This window comes from Homo sapiens, chromosome 2, assembly GCF_000001405.40.
Source record: "Homo sapiens chromosome 2, GRCh38.p14 Primary Assembly".
NCBI lineage: Eukaryota > Metazoa > Chordata > Mammalia > Primates > Hominidae > Homo > Homo sapiens.
Genome location: NC_000002.12, coordinates 231058346 through 231085767, shown reverse-complemented (window position 1 = coordinate 231085767; position 27422 = coordinate 231058346). Strand labels below are relative to the sequence as shown.

Sequence of the window (27422 nt, the reverse complement as noted above, 5' to 3'; positions counted from 1 at the left end):
ACATTTGGATTAGGAGAACTATGAGTGGAAAGCCTTTTGGAAAACATGTGCATTGGCTTTCCTGTGCAGTGCATCTCTTGTAATAGATCATGTTCCTTAGGGGTCCCGGGGTGTGGGGGTGGGGGATTGTTTGCTTGTTTTTTAGAGATAGGGTCTTGCCCTGTCGCACAGGCTAGAGTGCGGTGGCATAATTATAGCTCACTGTCCACTTCACTTTCCAGAGTAGCTGGGATTACAGGCATGAGCCACTGCACCCATTAGGGGTATGTGGAAGCTAACTCTACCGGCTGTAAAAAGAAATAAATGGTTCCTGTTCTTCACTGAATTTCTCTATCCTAGGGTGGCCACACATACTCACAAGGTCTTATCCCTTACAAATGAGGGTGCTCCTTGCAGTAGGATTTTAGAAGTTGCACCTGAATGGCTTTAAGGACTTCCATTTATATGGGACTGTTATCCCATCCCATATCCTTCTGAAAAGCTAAGTGAATCTAGTGCTAGGTTATGGCCTGTTGGGTCCAGTAAATGAGAATCACAACCTAAGACCACTGGTGGTGGTCATGCGCTGTGGATGCTGGAGTCACCTAGACACTTATTGTCCATCTGCAAGCTTTTCCGTCCACCCCATTCCCAAGAAAGGTCAGAGTACTTACAGCAACATGTAGCAGGCGTCGAATTGCTTTGTTGTTACCAGAGCCACAATAAGCCATGGCTACAGTATACATTCCAGACCTTCGAAGAATTGGGTCCTAAGAAAAATAATTTAACATTAATCATCAACTTATTTCAAACAGTTAACTTCTACAGTCTAATAGGCATAGTGGCATCCACCAAGTAAGCTGGTCTCAGATAGGAAATGATGAGCTCAATAACTCTTTTGTGGTTGGTAGTTTTTGAAATAAATGGGGCAATAAAACACATAAATACAGAAGGAGGTAGCTGCTCTTAATTCCCAATACGCTATGCAATATGCCTGCCCTGCTTCATACTTTTTAGGAAGTATAAAGTCAAGTCAACAGCAACAGCCACTCCTATGGCAGTCCACTTCCTTTTAACAATCAAGCAAGGAAGTTGGCTTCTAATTCTACATTTTTACCTTATTTAAATTCCTGGGTACTGAGTGCTGAGTGGAAGAAAGATGGAGCCTGGTAACTGAACAAATTAATTAATAATTTTATCAATAAACTATAGCAGTGGTTCTTATTGATTATAGAGGACAGTATTACCTGCCACTAACTACCCACCATATACAACACCATTATAAAAACTAAACAAAAGGCAATGGAAAAAAAACCTCACCCAAATAAACAAGTATAGAGATTGGTACTGTTTTCTGATAAAAGAATAATGAAGTAAACTTTGTATCTTATTAAATGACTATCAAATCATTCCAAAAATATATATATATATATTTTTGAGATGGAGTCTTGCTCTGTCACCCAGGCTGGAGTGCAGTGGTTCAATCCCTGCTCACTATAACCTCTGTCTCCCAGGCTCAAGCAATTCTCATGCCTCAGGCTCCCAAGTAGCTGGGATTACAGGTGTCCGCCACCAAGCCTGGCTAATTTTTTTTCTACGTTTAGCAGAGACAGGGTTTCACCATGTTGGCCAGGCTAGTTTTGAACTCCTGACCTCAAGTGATCCACCTGCCTCGGCCTCCCAAAATGCTAGGATTACAGGCGTGAGCCACCACGCCTGGCCCAAAAATTATTATTTCTAAAAGAAATCAACTCGTGAATTCCTAAAGAACTATGCTGAATCTGCTTATGAGTATCACCGATCTGAAGCTATAGCAAAATTTAAAATCCTCAAATTACTCCCATGTACCTTTTCTAATCAGTGCTTTTATTTCTTAAATTCTATTAGGCTTCATATACATTGCCAGAAGTTTTATGAATAAGTGTACCTACATGTTCTGATGGGAACAGAGTTAATTTCCAGTGAAGTTAAGTGTTTTTTACATGCTGGAGATAAATGGACAGTGAGGGACGTATGTGATCTCACCTTGTCACGACAGAGAGATTCAATGAGAGCATCAGCCTCTTCCATCCTCCCATACATTACTAAAGCTATGCCAACTGCAAGACCACGCAGAATCTTCTCATGTTGAGTTTCTTGTGCATAACCAACCATGTCCTCAATAGCCTGAGCATTTTTAGAGCCCAACATAACCAAACCTAGGGCCAGGCCAGCTGCTTCCCCTGGCAAGTAACGAGTAAAATGTTAACAGAGAGTTATGTTTTTAAAGTCAGTAAAACATCCAACTGAAAGTAGCACTCTTTTTGCATAAACTATCAAAAAAATCATTAGCTTCTGATAGCATTTTTTTAAACCACCTGGTAAAAAGGATACTTTATGTGGAAGCACATTCATACATTTAGGGTTCGCACATTCATATTTAGGGTTGTTTTCCTTTTAAACTTTGACAGAATGTACCATCAAATCCTACAGTGATTTCAAAGGAGACATTTAGATAACATTTTTTCTATATTATCGCCAAGCAGTATGGAGTAAGCAGATCACCCTAATAAATTCCTGTTTGCAAAAGTCAGTTATGAAAGTGGACACACAGGATATACCATTTTAGAAAGCCTATATATCACAAAACTTGTTTTAAAAGATAACTTTGACAAATGGAGCAAAATTCACTTCCTCTTCAACTAGAGAAATCCATCGGAATTTTAAGAGGCTACAAAATATAGGTAGAAACTAATGTAATTACATTTACATTAATTAATACTTAAGCTTGTTAGCTTTAGAAAGAAATGCTTACCTGTTACTGCATCATCCTGATAAAGGTTTGTTTTTAGCAAATCATAAACATCTTGACGTGCAGTTCCCATGGCTGCCAAACCAAGGCCCAGACTGCCACCGTGTCTAACGATCTAAGGAAAAAACATAGATTCCATTGATTTGGTACACTGTACTTAACATACAAGTTTTTATTCTAATTTCAAAATACAGTTTCACATTAAATATGCAGAGGTTGGCTCAGTAAGAATGATCAAAGGATGTGATAATCAAAAGGTCAGTGATAAACTCAGCAATTGCAGTTTTTGTTTCAGACGTAGTTTCGCTCTTGTCGCCCAGGCTGGAGTGCAATGGCGTGATCTGGGCTCACTGCAAACTCCACCTCCTGGGTTCAAGTGATTCTCCTGCCTTAGCCTCTCAAGTAGCTGGGATTACAGGTGGCTGCCACCACGCCTGCCTAATTTTTGTATTTTTAGTAGAGATGGGGTTTCATCATGTTGGCCAGGCTGGTCTGTAACTTCCTGACCTCAGGTGATCCACCCACCTTGGCCTCCCAAAGTTCTGGGATTATAGGTGTGAGCCACCGTGTCCAGCCCAGCAATTTCATTTTTAATAGAATGATATTTGCTGATGCCAAAAAATAGTGAGCTGAGGCTGGACTGGTGGCTCATGCTTGTAATCCCGGCACTTTAGGAGGCTGAGGTGGGAAGATCACTTGAGCCCAGAAGTTTGAGACCAGCCTGGGCAACATAGGGAGACTCGGTCTGTACAAAAAAATAAACATAAATTAGCTGGGCGTGGTGGTGCATGCCTGTGATCCCAGCTACTCGGGAGGCTGAGGTGGGAGAACGGCCTGAGCCCAGGAAGCTGAAGCTGCAGTGAGCCATCATTGTGCCACTGCACTCCAGCCTGGGTAGCACAGCAAGAAACTGTCTCAAAAAATAATGATAATAAATTAAAAATAGTGAGTTGTGAAATGAACGTGAGAAAACAAAGTGGGCAGAGAGGACAACTCTCTTTCAGTAGGTTTACATGAGAAGGGGAGGAAAAAGACTGAACAACTAAGAGGGAGATGTCAAGAAAAGAATTTTGTTTAGGATAGATGAGAGTATGTTCATGGGTTGAGGGAAAGGAGGCAGTACAGAGTGAGAGGCTAAAGACAGAGGAGAAAAAGGTATCTAATGGAACATGGTTGTGAAGAAAGTGGTTGAAAATGAGGTCAGAGTACCTCTGAAATATACACATTTGAAAGAGGAAACTTTAGTGGTCATCTGTCATTTCTGAATGCACAGCATGCTTCTATTAGTGACAGCATCCCAACATTCCTTTGGTAATACTCCTCCCCACTGGTTAGAGTCCTGGTGGGACTGTCATTTAAGAATCTCCCACCTTCCCCTAGCCAAAGTGTGACCCAAGCCAGAGCAATACAATGCTCCTTCTTTGCGATTTTCATCTTTAAGTGGAATAACCCAATGGCCAAAAATGTTTCAAGTTCATTCATCCTGAAGGTAGGGTCCTGAAAAGGCTATTTCATTAGTTCCTGTTATCTAGCATCTGTGGTGTTGCTCTGGCTCTTTAACCTTTGTGAGAACTAGTTCATCAGCCTTTCTATTAATTATATAAGCTATTTCCAATAAACTTCTTATTCAAGTTAGTTAGAAATGGTTTTTAATGCTGTCTATTGCTGTTTTTGTTTTGTTTTGTTTTGTTTTTTTGTAACCATAAACCCTATCTGATAAGAAAGTTTTTACCTGAGACCAGGGGAAATAAGGTAAAAATGTGTGTACCTGCACACACGATTTGTGGCTAAGGGGCTTATTAATTGAGACATCATCCTATTGGCTTCAATCTTTTTTTTTTTTTTTTTTTTTTAGACAGAGTTTCTGTCTTGTCGCCCAGGCTGGAGTGCAGTGGCACCATCTTGGCCTCACTGCAACCTCTGCCTCCCGGGTTCAAGTGATTCTCCTGCCTCAGCCTCCAGAGTAGCTGGGATTACAGGTGCCCACCACCATGCCCGGCTAATTTTTTGTATTTTTAGTAGAGATGGGGTTTCACCATGTTGGCCAGGCTGGTCTCAAACTCCTCACTTCAGGTGATCCACCCGCCTCGGCCTTCCAAAGTGCTGGAATTACAGGCGTGAGCCACCGTGCCCAGCCCTGGCTTCAATCTTTTCACTTATGCATGAGGGCAAGGTTTTCTGGCTCACTTAACTACTCTCCTGATGGCCCTCACTCCAATATAGAAGTTAGTGTAAAATTACATTTTAAGGTTCCTTAAAATAAGAACAGGGCTACTTAGTAAGCTTTTCCAAAAGATTTACATTTTAAACAATTATCAAAGATCAAAACAAGCAAGGATTCTAACTTCTGAGAGACTGCAACTTCTTTAGGCCTTAATTTCCAGTAAAATGTTAGGGCCTAGACTAGATGATAACTAAGGTCACTTGTAGTTGTAACATTTTAAGATGAAAGTGTGGGAAAACAACATGTTTTACAAATACACGCAGGGTTTAAAGGAGTGAGAAACACAATTTTAGCTTATCAAGAAGGAAATGAAATTACCTAAAAAAAAAAAATCCAAGATGACAGTTGTTTTGGGTATTCGCAAATTCTACAAAATCTCCAGTCACTAAAATAATGTGGCAAATATGTTATCCTGGATTCTTGAGTTTTGGAAATTTAGTTTTCCATTTTAATACTTACATCATTGCTGGCGTTCTTAAGCTGATTAAGCAGATAGTCAATTATATCACCACCATGATTGGCATGAATAAGACCTAGTGCATAGAGACCTCCACCTTCCTGATAGGCTGATCCTGGAGAAGTATCCTTGGGAAGGTATGTTGCCATTAACTGTAATGCTTCTTTTTCATGACCCTGTAAAGGTAAGTCATAACAAAGACATCAAAAAGAGAAAGTAAGAAGAAAAAAGACAATGTTTTCTATGATTACTGCCTTTTCCCCAGAATGTTCACTTGCTAAGAGAGAAGGAGGTAGTGGGGCTCTCTCTCATATAATTGTATAACTCAAACAAGAGGACAAGCCTTTAAAGAGACCCAGTTACACTCTGGTTAGAAAAAAAAAAAATCACAAATGCTTCAATTTTTTCCCTTTGTTTTATAACATTTGCCCAAATCCATCTCAGACTATGCAAATAACATTTCAATTTATCCTTTCAATGGCTTACACAGTCTTTATAGAAACAAATTTCCACTTTTTATTAAAAACAAACACACATATAAATACTTCAGTATCTTATTTACTTTAGCCTTCTCCACAAAATGACTTATCTGACTTAACAAAGTGTACTTGTTAATGAATTATAATAAACTGTTATTTTTTCTTAACCCCAGAAAAATTACTTCTTTTCTGATGCCTGTATACACTGACCAATATATATTACCTTATGAATTACACCCAAACTGGCTGTAGCAGTAAATTTTGCCCAGTTAGTGGCTCTGGCTAACCATTCCAAATTATCTCTGTAAAAAAAGATGATGTATTTTAATTAGTGTTAAAACAAATGAATTCCTTAAAGCTTTTTAACTCTAAGGTTAAAAGCATTAAAATTTTACCTTGAACCCTTCCAAATTACTTTGTGGATCTCAAGTTACTACTGATTCTATTTTAACTCTTAAGTTGTTCTTAGTATTTTAAGGATTTTTAAAATGCACGATACGTAATTCTACTATAAATAAAAACAAAATTATATAAAATTTTAGAGCTTAATATATTTCCTTCAAGAGCCTATAATCAAGCCAAGTAATAAAAGGAATTAATTTTACCTTAAAACAAGTAGAAATACACAACAAAAAATACATAAAATAGCAAAAATATAATTTAGAATTAAGGACTGGTTAACAAGGAAAGTCCTCAACATCTCTACAACAATGTTAACACAGTGTCTGTTAAAAAGGATTTTAGGCCGGGTGCGGTGGCTCACGTCTGTAATCCTGGCACTTTGGGAGGCCGAGGTGGGCAGATCACCTGAAGTCAGGAGTTCAAGACCAGCCTGGCCAACATGGCAAAAGCCTGTCTCTACTAAAAATATAAAAATTAGCCAGGCATAGTGGCGTGCGCCTGTAATCCCAGCTACTTGGGAGGCTGAGGCAGGAGAATCGCCTGAACCCAGGAGATGGAAGTTGCAGTGAGCCGAGATCGCATCACTGCCCTCCGGCCTGGGCCACAGAGTAAGACTGCACAAAAAAAAAAAAAAAAAAAAAAAAGAAAAAGATTTTGAACCAAAGTGAAAATCAACAAGCATATTTACCTAAGAAACTGGTCACTGGTTGTCCCACAGTGCATAAAAGAGTTTGCTATAACGGTTGCAGTATGACATACAGAATTCCGTACTGCATCCTGCAACAACAAATACAGAATTGTTTCATCACTGGCAAAGTATTCATATATGCACACCCTCACACACACAGTCAGAGGTCCTATTTTGTGGTAAAAGCATGAACAAACTGAACTGAGATTTAAAATATGGATCTTGGGTATTTCTTTTATAAAGACTAAATAGCTAGTTTATACAAACAAGCAAGTCAAAGTTTTATTTGCAGTTTTAACAGAGCTCAACAACAGATTTTAAGTGGGGAATTTGGACAGCAGATTTTCTATTCTTTGGTTTAATTAAACTTGCTTTTTCTCTTCTCCATCTTGCCCAAGGTCTCCAAGGTGTTGAGATAACCTGAGGAGCAGTGCTGCACCTCTGACAGTTACCAGATAATTTTGTTTATTTTTGGTTTTTGAGACAGAGTGTTGCTTGGTTGCCCAGGCTGGAGTGCAGTGGTACGATCTCGGCTCACTGCAGCCTCCACCTCCTGGGTTCAAGCGATTCTCCTGCCTCAGTCTCGCGAGTAGCTGGGATTACAGGTATGTACCACCATGCCCGGCTAATTTTTGTATTTTAAGTAGAGACGGGGTTTCACCATGTTGGCCAAGCTGGTCTTGAACTCCTGACCTCAGGTGATCCGCCTGCCTCGGCCTCCCAGAGTGCTGGGATTATAGGCGTAAGCCATCGTGCCTGGTCAAATTTTGTTTATTTTTAATGAGACTATATTACAAAGACTAGCTTTAAATTGTCATGAATGGAGACTATATGATTCTCCATATTTTTTGCCATTTGCAAAAATTGTATTAAAAGTTTCAAAGAGCATTATTACACATGCTTTAATCAAACAACTGTTTAATCATTCAATAATATATGGCTATAAAAAAATGACTTTGCGAAGGGGTACTGGATAAATAAGAGAGCGAGAAGGAAGATTTTTCATGTTATATATCTTTTTATATTAAAATATTTTGAATCAAATATATTACTTGCTAAAAAATTAAAATCAGTATTAATAACTGTTAAGAGCAATATCTCAACAAACACTGCAACAAGGTAAGAATCGCTGCTCTCAAGGAGATCATAGTTCAATGGGAAATACAGACACAAAACCTATATTCTTTTTTTTTTGTAATAAAAGAAAAACACAGATTTATTGAAATGAAAGTACACTCCACAGAGTTTGGAGCAGGCTGAAGCAAGCGGCTCAAGAGCCTATCTTAATATTCTGATTGTGCTATTTGTCTAACTGCTCCATGTATACATTAAAAATGAAAAATGAGTTAACTAAGCTCCCCAATAAGAGATAAGCATAAAAACAAGAGCTCAATCATTGCTCATTTTCTTCCTTTCCAACAACTCCAAGAGGATAATTGATTGCTATTTTTTCAAAACTTAAATACTTTTTCCTTAATTGGAAATAAAATAAAGAAAGTATCCAACAAGAAATAAATATAATTACTTATATGCAACAAAGAACTAAATATTTTTTAAAATCCTCTATTATTGATGAATTTCTTACCTTTGTGTTTTTTAGAATCATGAGGTCTGTATTATTGTTTCGTATTAAGAACTGCAGATGTAACTCAATAGCCATTTCACCACTTAAAATTTTAATCATTTTCAAAGTCTGGTCCTTAGGCTCTGGACTCTGCCAAAACAAACAAAAAAAAAATGAAAACTCATAAACAGTATTACTATAATCCAGTAACCCAATTTTATTTCATCAGTCCTAAACCAGTGAAATTCAGTCCATTTTAAGAGAAAGGATAATTTATTTCTTTCTTTATTAGATGCTACTGAGATATGATACTAGCTTGATGGAAGAATACAATTCATCCCCAGCTAGCTTTCGATGTAAAATATTTAAATATTTTTTAAAAACTGGGAAAGAATAATTACTGATAACACGCAGGAAAATTACTTTTTATTAAATGAGTCAATTTATATTTTAATTGAGAAACTTCCTACTTGAAACTGAGAAAACTGAAAATACCTTTAATCAACATATATATATGATTTTTTTTTTTTGAGGCAGAGTTTCTCTCTGTTGCCCCAGCTGGGGTGCAGTGGTGCAATCTTGGCTCACTGCAACCTCCACTTCCCAAGCTCAAGCAATTCTCCCGAGTACCTGGGATTAAAGGCGTGTGCCACCACGCTCAGCTAATTTTTGTATTTTTAGTAGAGACGGGGTTTTGCCATGTTGGCCAGGCTAGTTTCGAACTCCTGACCTCAGGTGATCCACCCACCTTGGCCTCCCAAAGTGCTGGGATTACATGCATGAACCACAGTGCCCAGCCTTGATCTTATAAACTACCATGCCACCAACACAACTTTCCAACCAGGTGAAGAACAGCTGAAGTTTACACACCTGAGCATCAGGAACCAAAAGTCCAACAGACCACTGTTGTAATATTTACCCTACCCTTCCAATACGCTGCAAACATTAAAAACAACAAAAACAATTAGCCTCCCTCCCATATATGTTGCCATTTGCTAGAGACCATACCTTTTTTTCACCCTGTGATAGGTAATTTGAAGTTATTTCAGACAGAAATAACTTCTGCCTGAAGTAAGGATCTAAGGATTTGATTTCTTCTAAATGTTTTCTTCGGATCAATTTTTAAAACTTTAATCTTTACAGAAAATTCATTTTTATAAAATGACTTTGGTATCAAACTTAACAGTAAACTTTAATAAAAGCATGTATAGAATATATACTTGAAAGAATTTACAATATCCTGTGGAAATATTTATTAAGTAACAATCTCAACTTCAAAAAGCACACTCGCTGGGCATGGTGGCTTGGCTCGGTGGCTCATGCCTGTAATCCCAGCACTCTGGGAGGCCAAGGCAAACGGATTGCTTGAGCTCAGGAGTTCATGACCAGCCTGGGCAACACAGCGAACCCTGTCTCTACAAAAAATACAAAACTTAGCCAGGCGTGGTGGTACATGCCTGCAATCCCAGCCATTTACTTGGGAGGCTAAGGTGGGAGGAAAGCTTGAGCCTGGGAGGCAGAGGTTGTAGTGAGCCGAGACCGCGCCACTGCGTTCTAGCCTGGGTGACAGATCAGGACCCTGTCTCAAAGGAAAAAAAAAAAGCACACTCACGGCTTCTGGTGTCTTTCCTACAAATGCACTGCTTGTCTTTTCTTCTGTTTCCATCGAGTCACTGAAATGAAAAGAACCAATAATTTTTTCTGAAGAGAAGTACAATTTGTTTATACCACAGATCTGAACCATGTCCAAATTGAATATTTTGCAAGAAAATAATGTTTACTAAAGTATTACCATTAAGAAATAAAAAATTCTACACATCTCTAAGATGGAGGCAATCCAGTTATTAAATTTCCTCCAAATAATAAAAACAAAGCAACTAGGTTAGCAAAACCATGGACAACAAATACAACAAGAACAGGCGACAAAATATCTCCTTCATTCACAAAACACAGTCAGGTAAAGCAAAATCACCACCAGCTACAAAATGGGCTTGAAAAGAAGGGGCTGGGACCCCAACTACTCTTAAATCTAATCAGCCAACAGTCCCTTGTAGGTCAAAGCACCATATTGAGGAAAAAGTGCTGGGCAGAGAATCCAAATTAAAAAGGCAGGGACAAAGATAAAGAAGGTACCAATAAGCCTGGGCAACAAAATGAGACCCTTGTCTCCACAAAAAAATTTAAATAATGAACTAGGTATAGTGGTGCGTGCCTGTAGTCCCAGCTACTCCGGAGGCTGAAGTGGGAAGATTGCTTGAGCCTAGGAGTTTGAGGTTGCAGTGAGCTATGATCGCACCACTGCACCCTAGCCTGGGCAATGGAGAAAGGAAACAGAGTCAGGAGATCCCAAAACAAAAGCCATTATTTTGTATAGTACTACATAAATGCAACAGAAGAGGAAATACTGGAGGGCAGTAAAATTGGAAAAACTATCCTAAACAAGCCTCCTTTGGAAAAGTTTAGAAAAACTAATTTCAGTAAAAATAAGCTACAGAAAAGCATCAAAGTAAAATCTCATAAAATATTAGAAAAAAGTTATTTCAAAACAAGAGAAATTAGGAAAATTACATAAAATATACAAGACTATTACATATTAGAAGTACAAAAACTCAGAAATTAACATGATAGAACTAGAGAAAATCAGAAATAAAAGAGAAAAAATAATAATTTCAGAAATGAAGATTAACTCAGAAGGAACTTGTAACCACCACACATAAGCCTTAAGAAAAGGAGAAGGCAAGAAGAAAGAAAACTTGTTAAATCAAAAATAAATAAATAGGCCGGGTATGGTGGCTCACACCCGTAATCCCAGAAGTTTGGGAGGCTGAGGCAAGCGGATCACCTGAGGTCAGGAGTTCGAGACCAGCCTGGCCAATATGGTGAAACTCCGTCTCTACTAACAATATAAAAATTAGCCGGGCATGATAGCCTGCGCCTGTAGCCCCAGCTACTCAGGAGGCTGAGGCAGGAGAATTGCTTGAACCCAGGAAGGTGGAGGATGCAGTGAGCTGAGATCGTGCCACTGTACTACAGACTAGGTGACAAGACTGAGACTCTGTCTCGAAAATAAATAAAAAATTCTATCCCCCTAAGATTGAAAAAAATTAAAGATTTTTTTCACTGCCTCTTATCACTTCTGTAAGTATTGGGAATTCTAGCCAATATAGAAAAAAAAGAGAGGGAAAAGGTATAAAGATTACAAAAGAAGGAGTAAAATGCTCTCTAACTGCAGATGACCAAGATGCCAATAAACAGAATTCTGTAAAAGGATCTACTTTAAAAAATTTACTTAAAAAAATCATTTATAAAGCTATAAATGATTTTATCAAGGTCATAGGATTCAATGTTAGTATATAAAAATCAATTATATTTCTATATACTACCAACAAAAAAAATAGAAATTTAAAAATACCACTTCACAACAGCATCAAAAAACAAATTATACTTAGGGATATAAGAACATTAATTTAAGAAAAGATGTGTAAAACCTCTGCACTGAATCTACAAAACACTACTGAGAAAAAAATAAAAAACCTAAGTAAATGAAAAAGATCACCATATTCCTGGATTACAAGATTCAATATTATCGGGATTTCAATGTGCCCCAAATTGAAGATATTCAATACAATCCCAATCAGAACACCCACAGACTTATATAATGCAAAAAATCTACAATAGCCCAAAGAATCTTGAAAAAGAAAAAAGAATCAAAATTGTAGGTCTTACAATACCTGACTGCAAGACTTAGCATAGTTTTAGTAATAAGGAAAGAGGTAGTGATATAAAGAAAAATATAGGCATACCTTTGTTTTACTGCCCTTCAAGGAAGTCTATTGGAGCCACTTCTCCAATAGTATGTGATCACTTTGTCCTTGTGTTACATTTTAGTTATCCTTGCAATATTTAAAACTTTTTAATTATCGTTATATCTGTTATGGTAATCTGTCATCAGTGATCTTTGATGTTACCATTGTAGTTGTTTTGGGACACCACGAACCACACCCATATAAAACAGCAAACTCAATCAATAAATGTGTGTGTTCTGACTGCTCCACACACCGGTCATTCCCCCATCTCTCTCCTTCTCCTTGGGACTCCCTATTCCCTGAGACACAACAATATTGAAATTAGGCCAATTAATAACCCTACAATGGCCTCTGAGTGCTTAAGTGAAAGAGAGAGTCCCACATTTCTCAGACACAGATATCCAGTGAAAGAGCGGGCTAGGGGGCTGCCGGCATATACAGGCACAACTAAGACACACAAATGTTTTTAGTAAGTGATCTAAACGTGTAAAATACAGAAAAATAAAATTTTAATACCATATCAATTTGTACAGAATGCAAATTTCTAATACTATAGAAATTTGTGTATTTAGTTCTAATAAAAGCATAAAAAGCTGAGAATGTTCTTTACTTTCTAAATATCTAACCCAGATATATCTAACCCAAATATCTAAAAGGTAGCCCCAACCTATCCCCACCTGTTTTTTTAAATTTACTTGATTAAATAGTACACATGTTGTCTGGTAGGCCCTCCCTACGAGATAATCACTTCTATTTCTTTCCAGAAGGGTCAATTTCTTCGGTTTTCCTTACTACACCCAGCACAGTACAAAACAGAGCAACAGCCTAATAAGACTTTACAATCTATGAAAGCTAGTGGCAAAATTTATTCTTAGAATATGCTTCCTATAAATATTCTACCTGTCCCCAAAATGAAATAAAGATTATTCAATTAGTTTTGATGCAGAAAAAGGTACTTATACCTGTCTTTCTCTGATCCCGGAACAGTACCCGTATTAGTGGATCCAGGCACAGAAGCAATAGGGGTGCCAACAGTTCGAAGATTCTGGATTACAGATGACAAAAACTGCTGGCTAGCACTTTCATACAAATCAAAACAAATCTGATATGCCATCAGGAGGTTGTCTTCCTTTACCAGTTTCTCTAAGATATCACTCACAGCCTGAGGATCATCTAAGAAAATTAAGCACTGAAATGGAGATAAAGAACAATTATTCAATAATTAAAAACTTCATCTACAAGGTACTTAAGGAGACAAAATCAACATTATAGAAAACCTTAAAATATAAGCACAGGCAAACTAGGGCAGACTATCCAGTCTAGCACTCTATTTCTAAACCCAGCACTAGATGAAATTTTTCTAAACATGGCATCTGTCTTCCATAAAAAAATTCATACAAATTATATTTATAACTCTTAATGCTGTGCCTGGTAATCAGCAGTATTCAACATTGGTTGTTGAATGAATCTTGGCTTCTTTAAATCTTATCCATAAGTTATACCTAAGTGCTCCTTAATTTGTTATTTTCTCCCTTACCATATATTATGGAAGTTACTCATTCATTTAACATACATTGTGTTGTGTTGGGCCAGGACAAGAGACATTAAAATTACCATTTTGAAGCATTTCTCTTACTACTCTTATGATCTGCCATTGTTTTAACAAAATTATCCAACAAAGTTAGAATTTTTCTTTTAAAAACTCAATTTAAATTTTCTTGTTCCCTTAGGCAGCAAGTAACTCAACTTCAAAATAAACACATTAATCAAAGTTATTATAAATTAAGAACACGAAATAACACAAACAAAATAAGTGGTCAACAATAGGGGAATGATTAAGTAGGGCAAAGTACATACACTGAATGATTACAACAATCAAGTAAGAGGACTCTATGAAGAATTAGAACATGGAAAAATGTTAAAGACTGTATACAATTAACACTGTTTATCCACAGAGAAAAGAACTTGGTAGCTGGAGCCAAGTAATAGGAAGACTTCATTGTATACCCCATCATTCTTTTTGAATTTTAAATCACATGAACATATTATCTGCTCAAAAATATATTATTTTAAAAATGAGCAATAAAGTTTTTAAAAATAATAAAAAGATAAGGAATAAAACAGCTGAAAGAAATAAAATTGCCTCTAAGGAATAAAACTGAAATACAGACAGGAAGAGGGCAGGGAACTACTATTTTTCATGTCAGTTTTAAAAAAAACTATGAAAAATATTTACAAACAACAAAACTCCGAAAACCTATGTAGAGAAAACTGAAAGGAAATACACTATTAAATACTAAATTGACTTTGGGTGATGTAAAAAATCAAGTTAGAATAGTAAGTTGACTTTGGGTGATTTAAACATGGATATTTTTTCTTCTAGTATTTTGTTTCAAACTTGCTTTAAAAGGGATTGTAAAAAACAGTGTTTTAATCTAAATTTTCAAAGTCTAGAGGATTAAAATACACAGGAGCACATTTTAATGAAGAAACAATAAAATGTGCAATAAAATGCTATGCCCTGAGCAGAATACAAAAAATGTATACAACATAGCAATTGTTAAAAAGTAAACCCATGCACACCTCCAGTCAATAAAATACAATACAGTCATTAAAAGAATGCAGTAGATCCACATGTGTGAATAAGTAGGGAAAAACATCTATGTCTTACCTTTGGGAAAAAGCCCAAATGATGGGAAAGAGAAGCCTTACTTTTCATTTTATATATTTTCTGTACCATCTGAATTTTTTTTTATGTGCAAGCAAATTTATATATAGAAAGAGATAAAGAAAAGATACCCAAATGTTTTGGTGTGTATGGGTAATGAAACCATATATAATTTATACACTTTGAATTCTCTTTAGAATGATATAGTATAGCATAGGCACTGTTTTAATCTTCTAGCTTTTTAAAAAACCTTCGTTATTTCTAAAAATTTCCTTAAATTATTGGATTTTCAAAATGAAAAAAGAATACAAAGAAAGAATGTGTTACAACAAAATAGCTTTTTAGTGTTGTGAGATTTAGTTTCTTATTAATAAAAAGGAATATAAAGCACATACCTTATTTTCACAGGGCTGCTGTGAAGATCAGCTGAGATACATGTATAAAGCCATTATAGTAATATAAAGTAATAAAATGTGAAGTGGTATAGCATAGCACAGTACAGCGTGGAGCAATGTAATGAAACATAATTTAATGTCATTACCTGACAAACATTGATGAAATCAGGTTTCTCCAAGTTCATGTAGATTTTAACTAGAACTCTTAGTACTTTATTCCGAAACTGTTTATTCTGCATTAAAGACATGCAGAGCTTAAGGCTATAAGCTAACATTCCTGGGACATCATTCTGAAAGAGATAGTTTAAAGATATAACGTTATCTGGTTATTGCAGCATTATATTTATTTAGAAATTGAATTATTTTAATCTTGCTTCTTTAGCCAATCTAGGAAGCCAATTATTTAGACCTCTTAAGCAATACAAACTCAAGAATTTTAAACCATTTTAGATGAAAATCTTAAAAGAATTACATATTTCCACATCATCATAAAAAATGGATTAAAAATAATATTTAGTGGTACTCAGAATCACTATTACATGAACATAGTATACTATAATAAAGTGATGCTGTTAATTATTATAAAAGATATACAACTGTCCATACACTAAGTAGCTATGTTTTCCAAATGTGTCTGCTGAAGTCTTTCTGCTTCTTATCTTGCTACTAGACTCCCTCATGACTTACTGCCTACACTCACTTGCTGGCCAGGAAACACAACACAGCTCTCAGTGACTCAAGCATTGAGTACTGCCACATCTGTCTGGTGCTCTCCCTACAAGAAAACTTTGATCCAGGCTCTATGTGTTTACTTGGTGATTCTCAAAAGTATCCCCAATATTTGAGACTTCACCCTGTAAAAGGCCTTCAACATAAATTAGCACACTGAAAGCTACAGGAGTGTTTCTCAAAAAGTGAGTTGTGACTTTCCACTGCGTAATAAAATCAATTTAATGAAGTGTGACTAGCAAATTAAAAAAATAAAAAATACAATTTAAAAATAACAGAGTTATATCACAAGTAGTAAGAGTAGGTATTAGTTTCATAAAGCTTAAATTACATCTATATGTATATGTGCACTGGGATACAAAGAAAGATGCATTTGTTACTCTGCTTTTTTTTTTTTAAAACATTTTTCATTCTTTTACTTTATATATTTATTTGTTTGACTGCTTGTTCTCCTTCTAGATTCCCCAATGAAGTGTTTGCTTTGGGCAGGAACTTTGTTGGTCTTGTTTGCTACTATAGTAGGTGCTCCTTTATCTGAGAGGACTATGTTCCAGCACCCCCAGCAGATGCCTGAAACCACAAACAGTACCAAACTCTATATAAATTATGCACAAATTTCTGTTTTCTTCTTCACAATTTTATGGATGGAAGATTCATTCTTATGTACATCTCAGCGCAGCCTCAGCACAATTTTTTTTCTTTCCTTATTAAGTTGGGAATTTTCACTTTTTCAATTAAAGGAAGCAGTTTAAGGCTTCTCTTTAGCATATCTAAATTGCCAACATCACTATTTTTGTACTTTGAGGCCATTACTGAGTAGAATAAGGGTTATCTGAACACAAGCACTGTGATATTGCGACAGTCAATCTGATAAGCAAGGTGGCCACTAAAGTGACTAATAGGCAGTGTACACAGCATAGATCTACTAGGATGATTCACATCCCATGCGGGATGGAAAGAGATGGTGAGAGATTTCGTTGTGCTAGTCAGAATGGTGCACAATTTAAGACATGAATTGTTTATTTCCGGAATTTTCTATTTAATATTTTCAGTCTGTAGTTGACTGCAGGTAACTGAAACCACAGAGAGCAAAACCATGGATGAATGGGGACAATGCACATCTCCAATGCCTAGAACAGTATCTGGCAAACAGTAAGCACTGAAAAAATATTTGTTGAATAAATGAAAGCCAAAAATGTAATCTTACACACACGAAGACAAGGATGGGCTAAAACTGCACAAAAATGAAATTGAGAGGGAAACAAGGGCCATTATATCACATTAGGCCATTCATTCATTCACTCATTTAAACAAATCGTATTATCGACGCTAAACACTGTGTTAGGTTTTGGGGATACAGTGGTGAAAAAGGCACAAATACCTGTCCCGATATAGCTTATGATCTAGTGGGAAAGACAGCTATTAACTATCTACTAATACAATTATCAAGGGATAAACACCATGAAAAAATGTACAGGGCTCCATAAGATTAACAACAGAACTGGACCTAGTCTTTGCTTAGGGGCTGAGGAAGGCATGGGTATTGGGATCAAAGTTCTGCAAACAAGGGATAGTTGAGCTAAGTTTTGGATTGTGAGGAGAAATAAAGCAGGCAAAGAAAGGAATGGAGGGCAGGTGTGGTGGCTCATGCCTATAATCCCAGCACTTTGGGCGGCTGAGACGGGTGGATCACTTGAGGTCAGGAGTTTGAGACCAGCTTGGTCAACATGATGAAACCCCAACTCTACTAAAAATACAAAAATTAGCTGGGTGTGGTGGCACACGCCTGTAATCCCAGCTATTCAGGAAGCTGAGATGGGAGGATTGCTTGAACCCCGGAGGCAGAGGTTTCAGTGAGCCAAGATTGCGCCACCGCACTCCAGCCTGGTTGACAGAGCGAGACTCCATCTCAAAAAAAAAAGAAAGAAAAAAGAAATGTAAAAAATATTTTTGGAAGGGGGAACGAGGCAGGGTTCATCTAGATGAGAAGATACCAAAATGGCTAGTGTACAGAGAGCTAGCTCATGGAAAGAAATAGCTGGTGAGGCAAAGTAAGCCTGCAGATCAATGTCCATTTTACTCAGCTTTGTACCTTTCTGACCACTTCGGTTGGTGACTTAAATTGTCTTAATTATTGCAAACACCGCAAACCAGGAATCTAGCTGAGTAGTTTTAACCCTAATAAATGCATTAAAATATAGTTTATTGTCTTCTTAAAAAGGGCAGAGTAATTAATACAACTTCCCCATGCAAGACTTCAAAGGATTATGTGGTAAGATAAAAGCAGATATTTCATGAACACAAAACACAACCAAGGTTCATACATAAATATGAAAATAAAATATTTGGCAAAAGATCACCTGCTATTTCTAAACTAGATTTTCTTTTCACTGCCTATGAAAGTTTCAGTTTGAATAACTTGCTTTGCTGATTCCCTATCAACAATAATTTCTAAAATAACATCATCTACCTACCGACTCCAGTATGGTCTTTTCAAAGACGTCCAGTCTTCGTGTCTCCAGAGCAATGCCAATAGCCTGTTTATACTTGTGATCATCTAGACATCGCTGGAACATTTTATTTACGATGCCTTCCAATCTCTGGTCAATTGGTTTTTTTTCTCCTTCAGGCAAATCTGCATTTTCCACACATTGTTTGGTGTAGTGATCAATGCATTTTGCTGTTGAGGAAATAAAATAACTGATTATCTTGTAAATTGGGCTAAACTATCAGAAAGGGCAATGCCTATATTTATAATCATATATACTTATGGGATGACTATAAAGCAATAAGCAAATTTTGAAATGCTAGAACTTATGCATTTGAATACTGTTCTCCCATAATATTTACACCGGAGAACTACACATTAATTCCAATCCAGTTGACATTATTCAAAACATTTCTATCTGCCAGGTGTGGTAGTGCTCACCCACAGTCCCAGCTACTCGGCAGGCTGAGGCAGGAGGATCACATGAGCCCAGGAGTTCAACGCCAGCCTGAGCACCACAATGGGACCCTGTCTCTTATTTAATTTATTTTTAAAGTTTCTATCTTGTTACTCCATTTTGATCAAAATTTTATTACTCTACCCGATTAAGCTGCTTATTCAAAAGAACTGGCTACAAATAGCTGCTGCTTCACTTTCAAAAAACAAACATTTGCCATTACTGAAGATATTTTAAAAGGCCTATTATAGCAATTATCACATAGTAGTATATCGGACTTCTTTGCATTAATGAAACTATTAGCAACCTGAGAGTAAGAACTATGTCTAAATTGTCTCTGTAGGGTAATGGGGAAATGACTTGAAATGTGCCACAAGTTTAAAAGGCAGTTCCAAAGATTTCCAAAAACTTTTCCAGCAACTGTAGCAGATCCTTTGAAAAACAGTCCTGTGTCGCTTAATGACAGTAATACATTCTGGAAAACACATCTTTAGGTGATTTCATCATTGTGCAAACATCATGGAGTGAACTTACACAAACCTAGATGTTATATAACCTACTACATACCTAGGCTCTATGGTATGGCCTAGTGCTTCTAGGCTGCAAACCTGTATAGCATATTAGTGTATTGAATACTATAGGCAATAGCATTTGTGTCTAAACACAGAAAAGGTACAGTAAAAATATGGTATTGTACTCTTATGGGACATCTGTTGTCTATGCAGTCTGTCATTATGTGATTCCTGACTCTATTTATTGTCTCAATGTGAGGTAGGTGGAACCTATTTCTCCCAAGAAGGTGTCTGAAAATTCATGCAAAAGTGTTTGTGCCCAATTTAGCTTCCATATTTCACAATGATTTGGGTGCATGGAGGGGAGGGTGTGACATACTGAAGGATATCAATAGCACACCTGATAAGAAACATTTGTTTGCAATTTAGTTATATCTTTGCAATCACACCTTAAACTTTCTAAGTACAACCAAAAGAAGGACATTTCCCTAAGCCTTCCACCTTCATAAGGAAGATAAAACAGTCACCCTGGCCGGGCGCGGTGGCCCACGCCTGTAATCCCAGCACTTTGGGAGGCCGAGGCGGGTGGATCACGAGGTCAGGAGATCGAGATCATCCTGGCTAACACGGTGAAACCCCGTCTCTACTAAAAATACAAAAAAAAAAAAATTAGCCGGGTGTGGTGGCGGGCGCCTGTAGTCCCAGCTACTCGGGAGGCTGAGGCAGGAGAATGGCGTGAACCCGGGAGGTGGAGGTTCCAGTGAGCCGAGATCGCGCCACTGCACTCCAGCCTGGGAGACAGAGCGAGACTGTCTCAAAACAAAAAACAAAAAAACAAAAAAACAAAAAAAACAAAAAAACAAAAAACCCAGTCACCCAAGAGGAATGACATATACATTAATTATCCTCTCCATAATTCATTGGCTTGTTTCTTTCCCTTTCAAAGATAAGTAAGAAGACGAGGGCAAGATTTATTAGTTACAAACCATAGCCCCAAGAAATAAAAATAATTTTAACTAGCATAAATGATTGTTGGCCTACTAGATGACCCGGGTTAAATGGGTCTATATCTTGAAGGAAGCAGAGGACTTTTATAAATTGGAATATACTACATTCAAGATTCAGCTGGAACCATGAAGGTTCAGGTACAGTTAATAAGAACATAGTGGGTTGGGTCAGTGGCTCACATCTGTAATCCCAAAATCTTGGGAAGCCGAGGCAAGTGGATCACTTGAGGCCAGGAGTTTAAGACCAGCCTGGCCAACATGGCAAAACCCCATTTCTACAACACAAAAATTAGCCAGGTGTGGTAGTGTGCACCTGTCATCCCAGCTACTTGGGAGGCTGAGGCACGAGAATCACTTGAACCAGGGAGGTGGAGGTTGCAGCGAGCCAAGATCGTGCCATTGCACTCCAGCCCGGGCAACAGAGAAAAACTGCCAAAAAACAAACAGACAAACAAAAAAACACAGTGGATGTTATAATGCAAAATAGACCTTAAAGAATTCCAGTTGTTGAAAATGTCCACCAGGCCCTAATGTGAGCTTTTTGAACCAACTGTAGCTAAGTGAGGAAACATTACCCCTACCCCATCAGAGAGGAACCTCAAAATTAGAACATTTGGGGAATTTTCCTTAGATTATATAACTGAAGGGGAAAAATGTATGTCCCAGGTTTCAAATGAGATTCATGTTCTCATTCACCAGGTTTGCATATATGTCATAAATATATCCCAGGTTTATGTTATAACTAAAACTCAGCCTCATTTCCTGCTAAAGCCTTGTCATAACTTGGAGATTTATGAGTCCTGGATTTTCTGGAGGTACTGTTTACGATATTCATTAAGACGCTAGGAAGCCTTACCCAAATTCTGTTTTGTATACCCCCTCATGAATCTCACTGACATCTTAAAAAATGTGCCCTACAAAACTAGAGGAAGGGTGAACCCCACTTTTAAATAAATAAATGCAAACAGAACTGGTCTACTGATCAAAACTCACCTTCCAAAGGTAAAATGATACAGTGTTTAGAAGGCATCTACCATGCCATAGCACTTCATACCAACAGTCCAGTTTAAAAGCACAATTTGTACAATGGTGGCATTTTAAGCATTTGTAGATCACTGTTGTAAAAAACCATAAACCTTCATTAAAGAAAAAAAAAAGGCTGGCTGTGGTGGCTCACGCCTGTTAATTCCAACACTTTGGGAGGCCAAAGCAGGAGAACTGCTTGAGGCCAGGAGTTTGAGACCACCCTGGTCAACACAGTGAGATCCTGCCCTGTTTTCAAAAAAAAAAAAATCCATCAAATAAAAGAGATAAGTAAGGTATTTCACCCCCTGCTTCTAGCTTAAAGTGAAGAAAGTAGTCTAGTTTCAAATAATACGGTCCATCCTTTTAAGCCATCAGTTCTTCCCACTGGATTCACAGATGACAGCTCAATTCAATGAGCCTCCAACAGCAATAAAGTAACTTGCAAAATTTTCACATCATCATAGCAAAAACTTTAAAAACATGAACACAGAATCCCAAGGACAGTTGATGGTACCTCTATCAACCCCCTTGTGCAGGACTTCCCAATTTCTAAAAGAGAATACCAACTTCCTCCTTGTAAGTGTTCAAGTGAATAATACAGACCTTCTACTAATCAGCAATGTGAAATATCTGCACTGCACACTCCTGACAGAACATGCCCTTGAGCTCTCTGTACTATGAATCCAAAGTCTGATAAACACATGTCTGAAGGGTATGCAGTCCCTTCTTTCATTTACTACATCAACAGTTTTCAAGCATTTTTTTACACTATAAAATCTTTGTATCAAATCTTACATAACTAGTTGAATTTACAACTCTGGTTGAAATATGTGTCAGAAAATTCAAAGCCTTGCCTGTGTGTTATCCCCTTCCTTCAAAAATAAGGAAACAAGTAAGAAAACAACGGTTACAAATAGAAACAGTATGGGTTTTAGAGTGAGTAAAACCAGGTTTTAAATTTTATCCTTCTATTTAATAACCATGTCTTTATCATCTCAAAATCCAAGTTGTCTCATCTGTAAAACGGCTAGCTCCTTCCTCATGGGGTAGCTGTGGAATAAACCATGGTATGCAGAGTGACTAGCACGGTGCCTAGCACAATGCAGATACTAAATAATGGTTTCCTGTATTCGAAAAAACTACACAAACTGGTACCACTTGTTACTCATACTAATCTGATTTAATCTTTTCCTCTAACAGTAGGCTCACTGGACTGGTGATCATCATAACCACTGAGAACCAGCACTCAGTTGAAGGGCAGATCTAAAAACTCAGCCTGCATAAAATTATTATAGAAAGATTAGGAACTTCCAATTAAAATGAAATTTGGCAACATCAAATTCAGGAAAAAAGCTTCTATGTGCACTACAGCAAGAAAGAAGCCGACAAGATAAAGCCTTACCAGATAGACGATAATTACCTATAATAGTTTCCACATATTCAGAGTTATCATTGACATTGAAGAGGTCCCCTGCTCCAAGAGCATAATTCAGAGACTCCTCAAAAGCCCCCAGGTGATAAAATACTTTAGATGCCACTAAGGCTGCAAACTGCCGACTCCGGAAACCTTCATCTTCGTATAAAACCTCTCTGAAAGAAATTAGGAAGTACAGGTCTAGTTCAAACTGTGGTTTTCCCTAAAAATCCCAAATCTAAATATTCAAGCCACAATTCAGTTAACAGCAAATTTCTAAATGAATCAATAAGCCACAAGACCCACATTCACAATTAAATTTGATCCATCTTATTCTGATTTATAAAAATAATTTCTTACATTTTGTCTACGGACTCGGAAATTTCTGCCCAGAAGTCATTAACAACTGCATTCAATTTGTGTAGTGCAAATTCCTGTAAAAGATAACCAAAATCCTATTTTGAGATAGACTTATCATTACACTTCCTTAAAAAATTCTTTTCAGCAAATCAATGATCAAATCCTCAGTAATATTTACTCAAACTTTTACTCTATGACAAATATAAAAATTTACCAACTTACACTTTTTCTTGAGTTTACACATTTCTTTTCTGTTTTCAATCATCAACATTTTTCTTCTTTGAATATAAACAATTAACTCCAGGTTGCTGGTTTAGATGTAAAGGAATCAAGTATCTAGAGCCACCAGAAGGACATTCCAAATTTTCATCAAATAAAAAACTTTAAATATGTGAAACAGAAGCAACAACTTTTTGTGTTTTCTGTTGATAATGAAACTGGGGCGGGGGAAGCGGAAGGTGTGGTGGCTCAGACCCGTAATCCCAGTACTTTGGGAGGTCAAGGCGGGGGGATCACTTGAGCCCAGGAGCAGGAGTTTGAGATCAACCTGGACAACACAGTGAGACCCCATCACAACAAAAAATTTAAAAATTAGCTGAGTGTGGTGGTGCATGCCTACAGTCCTAGCTACTTGGGAGGCTGAGGTGGGAGGATCATTTGAGTGTAGGAGGTCAAGGCTGCAGTGAACCATGACCACACACTGCACTCTAGCCTGGGTGATAAAGCGAGACTCTGTCTCAAAAAAGAAAAAAGATTAAAAAAAGAAAAAAAAGAAAGAAATTAGGGGGCTATTCAAGTGTCGTAACGAGGTTTATTTGTCTTAGCTTTGTTAAACTCAAGGGAAACCAACTGCTGTGGCCAAAATACTGTCCTCTCTGGCTAGGTTACAGTAACTGGGTACAAGCCAGCTAGGACAGCAACTTTAAATGATGGAAGATTACAGATATCACTAAATTCAAAAGGCTTCACAGTATTCACACTAAGCCTAGTTACTTATTCTTCAATTCATACCTTAAGCTGTGGTTCATCTTCATCCAGAAGAGAAATAATTCCAGCTATGAGAAAAAAGATGTAACATGATTATGAAACACATTCTCACTAAAGTGGAAATTAACACCTGGTCAAAAATACATGATGGCTGAAAAACAATTTTTTTGAGGCGTAACTTCTCCAGGGGAATGATTATTTTTCTTTGAAAGTGTAAAGGTTTATATCTCAAGTTTAAGACTTAACTATATTATCAAACCCTCATGGCACCACATATATTACATCATTTGCCTAATTCAATGGTTTTCAGTGTGTTCCCTGGACTAACAGCATTGCCTGGGAACCTGTTAGAAATACACATTCTCGGCCCCATTCCAGACCTACTGAATCACAAATTATGAGGATGGGGCCCAGTACTGTGATTCTTTTGCTCTCTATAGTTTGAGAACCATTGGCCTAATTTACTGATTAAAATGGGAAACTTTCCTATACAATTTTAGAATAAAATTATTCATACAAAATAAATCAACAGTTATAAGATTATTTACAAAAATGGGAGCATTTAGTCATCAAATCAACAAGGTAAAATACTTCAATTATTTCAAGGTGTGTATATTATGGCACCTCTTTCCTATCACAAGTAACCTGGGTTTTACCAAATGATGAACAATCATACTCATTCTGAATTCAATTACCCAAGCACAGTGTTCTCCATATGGCTTCTCTTAGCCTCAAGGTATTACCACTAACATAGGAGAGTAAAAGGAATAATTGTCCTCTCCAAAAGAACACACCTTGAAATATAGTCAAAGGTCAAAGGGATTATTGGAAAAATGATATGGGAAATTATTGTACTAAGACCACAAAGGAAACCACTCTCAAATGCTTTCCATGTGGGTTTTAAAATCATTCCAGAACACCGAGTTGAAACTGTGGTTTGATTAAAAAGTGTCAAGGCAACTTAGTTAGATGTAGCCATTTCTAATTGACAAGTATAGGTTTGCCAAATAGCTTAAGCAATCTTTAGGAAGCCACACAGGAAAAGATACAAAATTTACCAAGCAAAACTAAAGTAGCATAAAAGCAGATATAAAGAACCTCTTGGTACTCTAGGTTGGTATGACAAGTCCAGAACAGAGATTCTGAATGGACAGCACAGGGAACAGATAAATTTCAAAATTCAATCAGTGAAAAAGAAAAAATTGCAAACTAGTGATGTGGAGTAAGATGACAGGCCAGAATGCTTTAAATGTAGAACAGATCTTAAATAACAGAACACTTAATACTAAAACTGCTACCTATCCTCAGTCAATGTATTTGAACGGCTTTTACCAAAAAGGGAGATGGATTTTTATATTCTCTGGTTTGGTTTCACTTATGACTAACTGGTTACATGGTTGTCCTGGCTTGGAAACTCAGCCTCTGGCCATGGACCAGAACTAAATCAAATACTCTACACTCCATACATTAGTATTTCCCATCTTAAAAACAAAACAGAACTCTCTTCTGGAGAGGGGAGAGAATGGGAAAGGCCTAAGGATGCTAAAAGCCTCTTATGCCGTTATAGGAACTGAGCAGATATTGGTCTAAAACTGTTGAATCAATTGACAGAAATATTTGGATATTTATTTACAAATACGGAGGTATGTTCCAGAAGACACAGCTTAAAAGTTGGGAATACCTGCCTCTGGGGATCAGGAAAGGGAAAGTGAGGTGGGGGACTATTGTTTTAAAGCTTTTTAGCACAACTTTCCTTTATGTGTCTGTATTATGTTTAAAAAAGAAAACACCAACCCACTCAATTTCACATCTCCCGCCTGGAAGCACCTCTCTCTCTCTCTCCATTCCCCTGCATAGTCAAACCTCTTGGAAAAAACTAATAGAACATGTTGACCTCTTATTCACCACTGTATGGTGATGCCTAGCAACTGCCTGGTCAATAAATGAATGAACAAACTGACTAATCCACACCAGAACCATGAGACTAGCCTGTTTAGCACCTGGGACAAATTCTAAGCCAACATGAGCCATAGGACAGAAAACAAAGTGACAAAAGATTTGGAACAGAAGTTGACAAGTAATCCAATAAACTTAAATGGCAGTAATAAATATACACTATATGATCATCACAGAATCTCAGGATAGGACCTCAAAAATTATTAGTTTTGCCACCTTAAAGAGGCTTAAAGTCTATTATATTGTCACCAAGTGCTTTTTCCGCCTCTACTTTAAAAACTCAAGGGACTGATTAATTGCTTTGACTGGCTGACTGAGCTCTTCAGTCAAGACATACTTTTGAATTTCTGCCATGCTCTCAGCAGTATTCTAGAATTGTGAAAACAAGCTTCCTGCTCAAAATTCTACCAGAGAGAGAGAGAGAGACAGTGATCAGGCAAGTAAACAAACAAGGCAATTACAGAGCTGTGGTGGAGGGAGAGTAAGCGTGTTTTAATAGAATGATCAGGGAAGGATAACATTTGAGTTGAGACAAAAGATTGAGAAGCTAAGGGAAAATCTGAGGAAGAGAAGACTAGAAAGGAACAGAATGTGCCAGGGCCCCGAGATAGGAGAGAAACTGACATATCCAAGGAACAAAAAGTCCAGTGTGATTAGGATGTATTGAGTGAAGACAGTACTACAAGACAAGGCGGGAATCAGATCATGTGGGTCCTTGGTTAAGAGTCTGGATTTTACTGTATGCCAGGGGTGTCCAACCTTTTGGCTCCCCTGGGCCACAATGGAAGAAGTATCTTGGGGCATACATAAAATACACTAACACTAATGATAGCTAATGAGCTTAAAAAAAAAAAAAAAGGTTTGTATATAATTTTCACGATGTCCGACCACCACAGTAAGAAAAAAAGTCCTCGAATTCAAAGGGTTGGACACGGCTGCTCTAAACACAATGTAAGCACTGGTGGATTGTAAGCAAAGAAGTATTATGTGATTAAAGTTTTAAAAAGCATAGTCCACAAGAAAAACGGGCTGT

General features: G+C 37.3%; 1 protein-coding gene across 4 annotated transcripts in view; it reads right to left on the bottom strand.

Annotated features, from left to right (window-relative positions):
• Positions 1-27422, bottom strand: part of PSMD1 (proteasome 26S subunit, non-ATPase 1) — a 115961-nt gene that overhangs the window by 87060 nt on the left and 1479 nt on the right. For 3 of the 4 annotated variants that reach the window (NM_002807.4, NM_001191037.2, XM_017004517.3), the window contains exons 2-15: positions 24458-24501; positions 23447-23520; positions 23093-23262; positions 18657-18862; positions 15600-15743; positions 13353-13579; positions 10197-10257; positions 8606-8734; positions 7021-7109; positions 6154-6232; positions 5454-5627; positions 2774-2885; positions 2005-2201; positions 654-749 (exon numbers count right to left, since the gene is read on the bottom strand). In NM_002807.4, coding sequence (NP_002798.2) covers positions 654-749; positions 2005-2201; positions 2774-2885; positions 5454-5627; positions 6154-6232; positions 7021-7109; positions 8606-8734; positions 10197-10257; positions 13353-13579; positions 15600-15743; positions 18657-18862; positions 23093-23262; positions 23447-23520; positions 24458-24501 — 1802 coding nt within the window. The remainder of the gene's footprint in view (positions 1-653; positions 750-2004; positions 2202-2773; positions 2886-5453; positions 5628-6153; positions 6233-7020; positions 7110-8605; positions 8735-10196; positions 10258-13352; positions 13580-15599; positions 15744-18656; positions 18863-23092; positions 23263-23446; positions 23521-24457; positions 24502-27422) is intronic. The other variant, NR_034059.2, reaches the window with a different exon arrangement.